Consider the following 12,527-nt stretch of genomic DNA (forward strand, 5'->3'; position numbering starts at 1 on the left):
ATGTCTGCATTTTTTCTAGTTATATTGTAGTCTCATTGCATACCAGCAAGAATAAGCTGACTTCGATAAAATGTATTAGTCTCCTATTTGAGACCTGTAATATCCTAGGCACTGAAAAATTTGGTGAAGGAATAAATTATGTTAATAAATGGACAAGAATACTTTGGGTTGAGTAAGAGGACTCAATTCGTAAAAGACGGCAGCTCTCCCTACCTAGTGTATAGTTTAAATTAGTGTTTAGACAAAATGATTCTAAATAATTACTTGGAAATGTTTTAAGATTTATATAATATAGGTGACTGTTAGAATCAATGTTTATGAAATTTTAGTAATTGAAATACTGGCACTAATTCCCTAACATTAAGGAATCCAGAATAGAAGAAAGATCTGAAACTGTCTTAGGGTGTGTATGTAACAAAGAGTTACAGTATCTAATATATATATATATGTGTGTGTGAATTTAGTGTATGATCAATTTGACATTTAAAGTTTTTCTTTCAATACAAAAACACTTTTTCTATGACTTAACAAATGTAAACATATGAAACTGTAAATATAATTTTAAAAATACAAAGTTTATCTGATCTCGAGGTTGGGAAGAACTGTCCAAGTATATAAAGAAAGAAAACATGATGGGAGGAAACACCACACCCAAGACTGTGTTGTTAAAGCACTGATGACTTCTGACCCAATTATAAAAGTGACCACAAAGCCAGCTTGCTTTTCAGAGTTCAAAAGAACCATCCTGTAATCTGTAAGATATTTGAGAAAAAATCCTAGTCTTAATGTTCATTTTCTTTAAGTGCTTTTTGGAAGTAAGCTGGGTATAATTAATAAGGAAATAAAGAACAACTTGGTCCGGTTCCAAGATGGCCAAATAGGAACAGCTCCAGTCTACAGCTCCCAGTGTGAGTGACACAGAAGACGGGTGATTTCTGCATTTCCAACTGAGATACCGGGTTCATCTCACTGGGGCTTGTCAGACAGTGAGTGCAGTCCATGGAGTATGAGCCGAAGCAGGGCAGGGTGTTGTCTCACCCGGGAAGCGCAAGGGGTTGGGCCATTCCCTTTCCTAGCCAAGGGAAGCCTTGACACACAGTACCTGGAAAATCAGGACACTCCCACCCTAATACTGTGCTTTTCCAATGGTCTTAGCAAACGGCACACCAGGAGATTATATCCTGTTCCTGGCTCTGAGGGTCCCATGCCCATGGAGCCTCACTCACTGCTAGCACAGCAGTCTGAGATCCAACTGCAAGGCTGCAGCGAGGCTGGGGGAGGGGCATCCGCAATTGCTGAAGCTTGAGTAGGTAAACAGCGGTCTGGAAGCTCAAACTGGGTGGAGCCCACCGCAGCTCAAAGAGGCCTGCCTGCCTCTGTAGACTAACCTCTCCGGGTAGGCCATAGCTGAACAAAAGGCAGCAGAAACTTCTGCAGACTTAAACATTCCTGTCTGACAGCTTTGAAGAGAGCAGTGGTTTTCCCAGCACGGAGTTTGAGATCTGAGAACGGACAGACTGCCTCTTCAAGTGGATCCCTGACCCCCAAGTAGCCTAACTGGGAGATACCTCCCAGTAGGGGCCGACTGACACCTCATACAGCCGGGTCCCCTTCTGAGACTAAGGCTCCAGAGGAAGGACCAGGCAGCAACGTTTGCCATTCTGCAATATTTGCTTTTCTGCAGCTTCCGTTGGTGATACCCAGGCAAACGGTCTGGAATGGACCTCCAGCAATCTCCAACAGACCTGCAGCTGAGGGTCCTGACTGTTAGAAGGAAAACTAACAAAAAGGACATCCACACCAAAACCCCATCTGCATGTCACCATCATCAGACCAAAGGTAGATAAAACGACAAAGATGTGGAGAAACCAAAGCAGAAAAGCTGAAAATTCCAAAAATCAGAGCACCTCTTCTCCTCCAAAGGAACACAGCTCCTTGCCAGCAACAGAACAAAGCTTGATGGAGAATGACTTTGACGAGTTGAGAGAAGAAGGCTTCAAACGATCGGTGATAACAAACTTCTCTGAGCTAAAGGAAGATATTTGAACCCATTGCAAAGAAGCTAAAAACCTTGAAAAAAGATTAGACGAATGGCTAACTAGAATAAACAGCGTAGAGAAGACCTTAAATGACCTGATGGAGCTGAAAACCATGCCATGAGAACTACATGACGCATGCACAAGACTCAGTAGCCGATTCAATCAAGTGGAAGAAAGGGTATCTGTGATTGAAGATCAAATGAATGAAATGAAGCGAGAAGAGAAGTTTAGAGAAAAAAGAGTAAAAAGAAATGAACAAAGCCTCCAAGAAATATGGGACTATGAGAAAAGACCAAGTCTGCCTCTGATTGGTGTACCTGAAAGTGACGGGGAGAATGGAACCAAGTTGGAAAACACTCTTCAGGATATTATCCAGGACAACTTCCCCAATCTAGGAAGGCAGGCCAACATTCAAATTCAGGAAATACAGATAATGCCACAAAGATACTCCTCAAGGAGAGCAACTCCAAGACACATAATTGTCAGATTCACCAAAGTTAAAATGAAGGAAAAAATATTAAGGGCAGCCAGAGAGAAAGGTCAGGTTACCTGCAAAGGGAAGCCCATCAGACTAACAGCAGATCTCTCGGCAGAAACTACAAGCCAGAAGAGAGTGGGGGCCAATATTCAACATTCTTAAAGAAAAGAATTTTCAACCCAGAATTTCATATCCAGCCAAACTAAGCTTTGTAAGTGAAGGAGAAATAAAATCCTTTACAGACAAGCAAATGCTGAGAGATTTTGTTACCACCAGGCCTGCCTTACAAGATCTCCTGAAGGAACAACTAAACATGGAAAGGAACAACCGGTACCAGCCACTGCAAAAACATGCCAAATTGTAAAGACCATCGAGACTAGGAAGAAACTGCATCAACTAACGAGCAAAATAACCAGCTAACATCATAATGATAGGATCAAATTCACACATAACAATATTAACCTTAAATGTAAACAGGCTAAATGCTCCAATTAAAAGACACAGACTGGCAAATTGGATACCAAGAGTCAAGACCCATCAGTGTGCTGTATTCAGTAGACCCACCTCACATGCTGGGGCACACATAGGCTCAAAATAAAAGGATGGAGGAAGATCTACCAAGCAAATGGAAAACAAAAAAAGGCAGGGGTTGCAATCCTAGTCTCTGATAAAACGGACTAGATCAAAAGAGACAAAGAAGGCCATTACATAATGGTAAAGGGATCAATTCAACAAGAAGAGCTAACCTAAATATATATGCGCCCAATACAGGAGCACCCAGATTCATAAAGCAAGTCCATAGAGACCTGCAAAGAGACTCAGACTCCCACACAATAATAATGGGAGACTTTAACACCCCACTGTCAACATTAGACAGATCAGCGAGACAGAAAGTTAACAAGGATATCCAGGAATTGAACTTGGTTCTGCACCGAGCGAACCTAATAGACATCTACAGAACTCTCCACCCCAAATCAATAGAATATACATTCTTCTCAGCACCACATCACACTTATTCCAAAACTGACCACATAGTTGGAAGTAAAGCACTCCTCAGCAAATGTAAAAGAACAAATTATAACAGACTGTCTCTCAGACCACAGTGCAATCAAACTAGAACTCAGGATTAAGAAACTCACTCAAAACCACTCAACTACATGGAAAGTGAACAACCTGCTCCTGAATGACTACTGGGTGAATAATGAAATGAAGGCAGAAATAAAGATGTTCTTTGAAACCAACGAGAACAAAGACACAACATACCAGATTCTTTGGGACACATTCAAAGCAGTGTGTAGAGGGAAATTTATAGCACTAAATGCCCACAAGAGAAAGCAGGAAAGATCTAAAATTGACACCCTAACATCACAATTAAAAGAACTAGAAAAGCAAGAGCAAACACATTCAAAAGCTAGCAGAAGGCAAGAAATAACTAAGATCAGAGCAGAACTGAAGGAGATAGAGACACAAAAAACCCTTCAAAAAATCAGTGAATCCAGGAGCTGGTTTTTTGAAAAGATCAAAATTGATAGACCACTAGCAAGACTAATAAAGAAGTAAAGCGAGAAGAATCAAATAGATGCAATAAAAAATGATAAAGGAGATATCACTACCAATCCCACAGAAATACAGACTACCATCAGCGAATACTATAAACATCTCTACGCAAATAAACTAGAAAATCTAGAAGAAATGGGTAAATTACTGGACACATACACCCTCCCAAGACAAAACCAGGAAGAAGTTGAATCCCTGAATAGACCAATAGCAGGCTCTGAAATTGAGGCAATAATTAATAGCCTGCCAACCAAAAAAAGTCCAGGACCAGACGGATTCACAGCCAAATTCTACCAGAGGCACAAAGAGGAGCTGGTACCATTCCTTCTGAAACAATTCCAATCAATGGAAAAAGAGGTAATCCTCCCAAACTCATTTTATGAAGCCAGCATCATCCTGATACCAAAGCCTGGCAGAGACACAACAGAAAAAGAGAATTTTACACCGATATCCCTGATGATCATTGATGCAAAAATCCTCAATAAAATACTGGCAAACCGAATCCAGCAGCACATCAAAAAGCTTATCCACCAAGATCAAGTTGGCTTCATCTCTGGGATGCAAGGCTGGTTCAACGTACACAAATCAGTAAACGTAATTCATCATATAAACAGAACCAAAGACAGAAACCACATGATTATCTCAGTAGATGCAGAAAAGGCCTTCAACAAAATTCAGCAGCCCTTCATGCTAAAAACTCTCAATAAACTAGGTATTGATGGGACGTATCTCAAAACAATATGAGTGATTTGTGACAAACCCACAGCCAATATCATACTGAATGAGCAAGAACTGGAAGCATTCCCTTTGAAAACTGGCACAAGACAGGGATGCCGTCTCTCACCATTCCTATTGAACATAGTGTTGGAACTTCTGGCCAGGGCAATCAGGCAGGAGAAAGAAATAAAGGGTATTCAGTTAGGAAAAGAGGAAGTCAAATTGTCCCTGTTTGCAGATTACATGGTTGTATATTTAGAAAACCCTATCGTCTCAGCCCAAAATCTCCTCAAGTTGATAAGCAACTTCAGCAAAGTCTCAGGATACAAAATCAATGTGCAAAAATCACAAGCATTCTTATACACCAATAACAGACACACAGCCAAATCATGAGTGAACTCTCATTCACAATTGCTTCAAAGACAATAAAATCCCTAGGAATCCAACTTACAAGGGATGTGAAGGACCCCTTCAAGGAGAACTACAAACCACTGCTCAATGAAATAAAAGAGGATACAAACAAATGGAAGAACATTCCATACTCATGGATAGGAAGAATCAATATCGTGGAAATAGCCATACTGCCCAAGGTAATTTATAGATTCAATGCCATCCCCATCAAGCTACCACTGACTTTCGTCACAGAATTGGAAAAAACTACTTTAAAGTTCATACAGCACCAAAAAAAACAGCCCACATTACCAAGACAATCCTGAGCCATTAAAGTGATCATTAAAAAGTCAGGAAACAACAGATGCTTGAGAGGATGTGGAGAAATAGGAATACTTTTACACTGTTGGTGGGATCGTAAACTAGTTCAACCATTGTGGAAGACTGTGGCGATTCCTCAAGTATCTAGAACTAGAAATACCATTTGACCCAGCCATCCCATTACTGGGCATATACCCAAAGGATTATAAATCATGCTGCTATAAAGACACATACACATGTATGTTTATTGCGGCACGGTTCACAATAGCAAAGACTTGGAACCAGCCTAAATGTCCATCAAGACTGGATTAAGAAAATGTGGCACATATACACCATGGAATACTATGCAGCTGTAAAAAAGATTGAGTTCATGTCCTTTGTAGGGACATGGATGAAGCTGGAAACCATCATTCTGAACAAACTATTGCAAGGACAGAAAACCAGACACCACATGTTCTCACTCATAGGTGGGAATTGAACAATGAGAACACTTGGACACAGGGTGGGGAACATCACACACCGGGGCCTGTCGTGGGTTGGGGGGAGGGGGGAGGGATAGCATTAGAAGATATACCTAATGTAAATGATGAGTTAATGGGTGCAGCACAGCAACATGGCACATGTATACATATGTAACAAACCTGCACGTTGAGCACATGTACCCTAGAGCTTAAAGTATAATTAAAAAAAAAAAAAACGTGATGGGAAAGAATTAGGTATACCTCTGTGAAAAATCAAAACATCTGTACATCAAAACTAGAATTAAAGGCAGATAATAAAATGAAGAAAACTTTTTCCCATAGAAAAATGGGCAAAGGAAATTCATGAAAGGGAGAAAATTAGCCAATAACATATATGAAAAGATTTATACTTTGATGGAAATGGAAAATAACTAGGAGTAGCATATTTTTCTCATTAGAATGGCTATGATTCTTCTTTGACCCAGTAACTTTTTAGTTTTTAATTATTGATCATTAGAAAATCTTTTAAGACTGATTGCCTGAGGGAATTCTCACTATTTAATAATGCTAAAGTGAAAAAACCTACATATTTGTTTTGTCTCAATTTATTTTACACATATAGGAAAAAATTTAAATAACCAAATGACAGTCATTATCTTTGGGTAATAGGATTATTGGTTATTTTTCAGTGTGTTTTTTCTCAGTCTTCTACATTTACTGCAGTCAACATAATTTTATAATCAAACTTGAAGCGGACTTTAGAAAGTACTTAAAATGCGGATTTTAAAAGTATTATTTTTGTGTGCTTGACTGTAACTCTATAGTTGGTTTCTACATGTGCTCCTATTAATAAAATGTATTAATAAGTAATAGTTACTAATACATTTACTAATTTTAATTAATAAGTAATATATTAATAAGACAGTAATGTACTTTAGGACTGTTATGTGAACTTTGTATGATTGGCTAAATTTTTTACCACTTTATAAAAGTCTTTGAAATTTTTTTACCATAGTAATGGGGTTTTTACTTGAGCACATTTCAAACACTCAATGTCTTTTTTTTAATTTATTATTATTTTTTGTGAGACAGAATCTCACTGTCGCCCAGGCTGGAGTGCAATGGTGCGATCTCAGCTCACTGCAACCTCCACCCCTCCACACTCCCCACCCCACCCGGGTTCAAGCGATTCTCCTGCCTCAGCCTCCCGAGTAGCTGGGATTACAGGCGCCCGCCACTATGCCTGCCTAATTTTTTTTATTTTTAGTAGTGACAGGGTTTCACTGTGTTAGGCTGGTCTCGAACTCCTAACCTCAGGTGATCCACCCACCTCAGCCTCCCAAAGTGCTGGGATTACAGGTGTGAGCCACCGCACCCGGCCCACTCAATGTCTTTAAATTGATTTTTTAAAAAACAAATATGAGATAATTAACATTTTATTGTTCCCAAAGAGTGATCCTCCACTGGACTCATCCATCAATTTTATTTTTTATTTAGATGAGTTTATTCTTTCTTAATATACTTTCTCCGCATATGCTGTTACAGCATCCACGTTTGTGTTTGTATTTGGCAGCCATATTTTCTGCTCTTAAGAATCTTCAAGATAAGATTCGACGCTTGGAACTTGAGAGGATTCAGGCAGAAGAAAGTGTGAAAACCTTGTCTAGAGAAACAATTGAATATAAGAAAGTACTGGATGAACAGATACAAGAAAGGGAGAATTCAAAGAATGAGGAATCAAAGCACAATCAAGGTTTGTTGATGAAGAAAATTAAAATTCTATCAAAATAAGTGTTGTGCAGTATTAAGTATTCTAAAAGAAATAGTACATTAGTGTTTTGTAGCGGTATCTTCAAGTACTACAAAACTGCATTGTATTCTGGTGCATTTTGAGGAGCAAATGCTGTTGTCATACATGGCATTTATTTACTGAATGCAAGGCCAGTTTGACTAGCACGTAGAAAGAATGATTTAGGTAATCTGAAAAGGCGTCCAGGTCTGTGGAAGGTGTTTTTATTGTATACACAATAGATCCAATTCCTGTTAACAGCTTGTTAAAACTATTTTATGGGTGAGTTGATTTCTGCTTTTCTTATGTATTCTTTTTAGAACTGACATCTCAGTTGTTAGCTGCAGAAAATAAATGCAATCTATTAGAAAAACAATTGGAATACATGCGAAATATGATAAAGCATGCCGAAATGGAGAGGACATCTGTCTTAGAGAAACAAGTAAGTAAAGCACCTCACAGATTGATACTCAAGAACAGTTATGGGGAAAACTAATTGAATAAAGACTTTTTTTCTTTCGGTGAGGATTAATGGTGCTGTTACAGCCCAGGACTGAAATTTCTTGGCATCAGTTATGAAATCTAAATATGTGATTGGCTTTTTCTTGTTGTTATTGTTGTGTTTCGTAGAGTTTTACTTAAATGGTAAAAATACAGTTGTGAGATGTTTGAAAGTTATGTTAGCTTCTTTGAGTCTACATTATAAAAAGTGTAAATAACCATATACCTCTGTATCTCTGAAATTTGTTTAATGACTCCAGTGAGATAGTAGATGACTTTGTAAAACTCTTCAGAATTGTTACTTAGCATAGCATTTTTGTGCTTTCTTACACCAGAGATCTTCGTATTTAGGTGACCTGTACATTTGTGAGAAGATATCTCAACATCAGTCTCAAATATATTGATTGATCAATTGATTGGATCTCACTCTGTCTCACTCTGTCACCCAGGCTGGAGTGTAGTGGCATGATCTCGGTTCACTGCAACCTCTACCTCCTAGGCTCAGGTGATTCTCATGCCTCATCCTCCCGAGTAGCTGGGATTACAGGCGCATGCCACGATGCCCAGCTAACTTTTGTGTGTGTGTGTATTTTTAGTATAGATGTGGCCAGGCTGGTCTCAAACTCCTGGCCTCAAGTGATCAGGCCGCCTCGGCCTCCCAAAGTTCTGGGATTACGGGCATGAGCCACTGTCCCTGGCCTTGTGTGTATTTTTTTTTTTTTTTTTTTTGAGACGGAGTTTCCCTTTTATTGCCCAGGCTGGAGAGCAACGGCGTGATCTCAGCTCACCGCAACCTCCACCTCCCGGGTTCAAGTGATTCTCCTGCCTCAGCCTCCCAAGTAGCTGGGATTACAGGCATGTGCCACCACACCCGGCTAATTTTGTATTTTTAGTAGAGACAGGGTTTCACCATGTTGGTCAGGCTGGTCTTGAACTGCCAACCTCATGTGATCCGCCTGCCTTGGCCTCCCAGAGTGCTGGAATTACAGGCATGAGCCACCACGCCCGGCCAGCCTTGTGTATATTTTTTTAAAACTTACTCCTTTTTCTGTTATGAATCTAGAGTTTGCATTCATTAGTTTTGTAGACATCTTAACTCTATTATAAAATCGGATTGTTTATATGCTTAACATTATGCTAGATGCCCTGCAATGGAAAAAAAAAATACTAGGCAGTTGTCCTTCAGTATCCATGAGTGAATTGGTTCTCAGACCCCTGTGGATAGTAAAATCCATGGATGCTCAAGTCTCCTATAAAATGGTGTGGTATTTGCGTATAACCTACACCCAATCTCATATACTATAAATTATCTCTAGATTACTTATAACACCTAATGCAATGTAAATGTTATGTAAATAGTTGCTGTACTATATTGTTTGGAGAATAATGTCAAGAGTAAGAATCTGTGTATGTTTAGTACAGATTCAACCATCCTTTTTTGTTTTTTCTCGTATATTTTCAATCCACAGTTGATCAAATCCATGGATGCAAAACACACAGATACAGAGGGCTTACCGTGTATGCTTTCTACCCTCAGTCAGCTTTCAGTTCTCATTGGAGAGAATTAGACTTAAATATTTGAGCAATCATACAACAGTATTTGAGAAGATGTCTCAGTAATTAATTCTTGTGTGTGATAGGTCTCTTATTTCAGTGGTTATAATTTTTCATTTTCATTTGGGTCTTTTTCCATCCACTTAGTTTTGTTCTTTGAATGTACTGTTACTCTGTGGTTTTTATACCTTCCTTCTATCTCTTTGAACGCTATAAACAATTCTCAATTTTTTTTAATTATTTGATGTTTTCAAAGTGTTAATCCTCGTTTGTTTGGCTTTATTTATTGATTCTCCCTTATGGTATCTTTTTTTTTATGGGAACTTAATAAAGAAAAGTTATATGGTGGTCTCATTTTTTCATTTATTGTGTTAATTCCACAATAAATTCCTCAGTTGTGTGGGCAGCCTTGTGAGCCAGTTGTGAATTTGCCTTTGGTTAGGCTTGATGGTTTTCACTGGTTCTGGCTGGGCAGGGTGGCTTACACCTGTAATGCCAGCACTTAGGAGGCCAAGCCAGACAGATCACTTGAGTGCAGGAGTTCGAGACCAGCCGGGGCAATAGAGCGAGACCCAGTTTCTACAAACAATAAATAAATAAAATCACTGGTTCTGTTCCAGATTTATGTTACTATATTGGCTTGATATTGTTGATCATTGTGGATTATACATTGCCTAAAGTTTTATATTCCTGCACATTTTATGTACCCTGGCTCCAATATTGCCTTGTGTGATATTTGACTTCAGTATCCTTTCATTTGCTTTTGAGTTCCTTTCTCTTTTTTTTGTATCTGAAGATTTTCCTTTCTTGCTTTCAAAATTGCTGTGTAATTGTATTAGTCCATTCTCACGCTGCTATAAAGAGCACCCAAGACTAGGTAATTTATGAAAGAAAGAGGTTTAATTGACTCACAGTTCTGTATGTCTGTTGGGGGGACTTCTGGAAACTTAACACTTATGGTGGAAGGGGAAGCATACATATTCTTCTTCACATGGTGGCAAGAGAGGGAAGTGCAGAGCAAGGTGGGGAAAAGCCCCTATTAAAACCATCAGATCTCATGAGAATTCACTATGATGAGAACAGCATGGGGAACCACCACGATGATCTAATCACCTTCCATGAGATCCCTCCCCCAAAATGTGGGGATTACAATTTGGATTACAATTCAAGATGAGATTTGGTTGGAGACACAGAGGTAGACCACATCAATAATCATATATTATTATTATGTCTGCTGTGTTTATCTAACATTTCTGTGATTTTTGGGCTGGAGAAAGGGGTCAGTTTAATAAGACAACTTTAAGATGTTTTGACTAATATATGTCTTGGAGACAACTATTAGGCATATGTAATAGATGTCAAGAGCTGTTAATATCCACTAGGATGTGGCTAGAAGGGAATTAGTTCACACAAATTCCTAAATTATTGCTTTATATTAATTTGTCATATTCAAATTTCTATTAATATGGTACCTATTGCTGTAGCCTTATTTTGAAGACACAGTTTACAAGTTCAGGCACTTTTTACCAATAATAGTCCTTGAGTTAGTATATTTGAAATTATCCTAGTATAATGGTTTACGGGTGGATTACTTGAGGTCGGGTTTGAGAGCAGCCTGGCCAACATGGTGAAACCCCATCTCTACTAAAAATACAAAAATTAGCTGGGCGTGGTGGCAGGCGCCTATAATCCCAGCTACTCAGGAGGCTCAGGCAGGAGAATTACTTGAACCCAGGAGGCAGAGGTTGCAGTGAGCTGAGATGATGCCACCGCACTCCAGCCTGGGTGACAGAGCAAGACCCCATCTCAAAAAAAAAACAAAGTCTATATAGGAGGCAATCTTTATAAATCTTTGACTCTAAACTTCAAAAAAAAAAGTTTAGGGCCAGGTACGGTGGCTCACGCCTGTAATCTCAGCACTTTGGGAGGCTGAGGCGGGTGGCTTACGGGGTCAGGAGAGCGAGACCATCCTGGCTAACACGATGAAACCACGTCACTACTAAAAATACAAAAAATTAGCCGGGCGTGGTGGCGGGCGCCTATAGTCCCAGCTACTGGGGAGGCTGAGGCAGGAGAATGGCATGAACCTGGGAGGCGGAGCTTGCGGTGAGCCGAGATCAGCCACTGCACTCTGGCCTGGGCGACAGAGCGAGACTCTATCTCAAAAATAAAAAAAGTATAAAAGGATATTATACATAGAATTCAAGGGAAATATGAAAAGATAGATACCAAAACCATAATTTTTACCCTAATTAAGAGATTAACTACTTGACAGGACCAAACTAAAAGTATTTGTGTGTGAAGCCTATATGTCCAATAAATCCCTGCTATCCCAGAGCATAAAGATAATGTCACTATATAAAACTACATATTAGGTAAATAGCTATAAGCCAAGGCAACTGAGCTAAGAACAGTATCCACTTATATCAGTCATTTATTGATGCCCCCTATGGTTTCATCTTAATGTTATTTTCCTAGAAGTAGTTATGTGAAGGGCCAAATAACAGCATAGAAAAACACTGCTCAGTGTTTTTCTCTTTTTTGATTGTCAAATTATCAAGCCGTATTGAATATTGTTTTTCAGGTTTCCCTAGAAAGAGAACGACAACATGATCAAACACATGTTCAGAGCCAACTTGAAAAATTGGATCTTCTTGAACAGGAGTATAACAAACTTACCACAATGCAGGCCCTTGCAGAAGTCAGTGCATGTGTCTTTT

The 12,527-nt window shown here is 39.1% G+C and overlaps 1 protein-coding gene across 19 annotated transcripts in view; it reads left to right on the top strand.

Annotated features, from left to right (window-relative positions):
* CEP57 (centrosomal protein 57) overlaps positions 1-12,527 on the top strand; it is a 42,680-nt gene that overhangs the window by 15,382 nt on the left and 14,771 nt on the right. For 10 of the 19 annotated variants that reach the window (NM_001440869.1, NM_001363604.2, NM_001243776.2 and 7 more), the window contains 3 exons: positions 7,537-7,716; positions 8,073-8,194; positions 12,392-12,508. In NM_001440869.1, the coding sequence (NP_001427798.1) occupies positions 7,537-7,716; positions 8,073-8,194; positions 12,392-12,508 (419 nt within the window). The remainder of the gene's footprint in view (positions 1-7,536; positions 7,717-8,072; positions 8,195-12,391; positions 12,509-12,527) is intronic. The other 9 variants (NM_001440877.1, NM_001440872.1, NM_001440876.1 and 6 more) reach the window with 3 other exon arrangements.

This window comes from Homo sapiens, chromosome 11 (genome assembly GCF_000001405.40).
Source record: "Homo sapiens chromosome 11, GRCh38.p14 Primary Assembly".
In the NCBI taxonomy this organism is placed as follows: domain Eukaryota; kingdom Metazoa; phylum Chordata; class Mammalia; order Primates; family Hominidae; genus Homo; species Homo sapiens.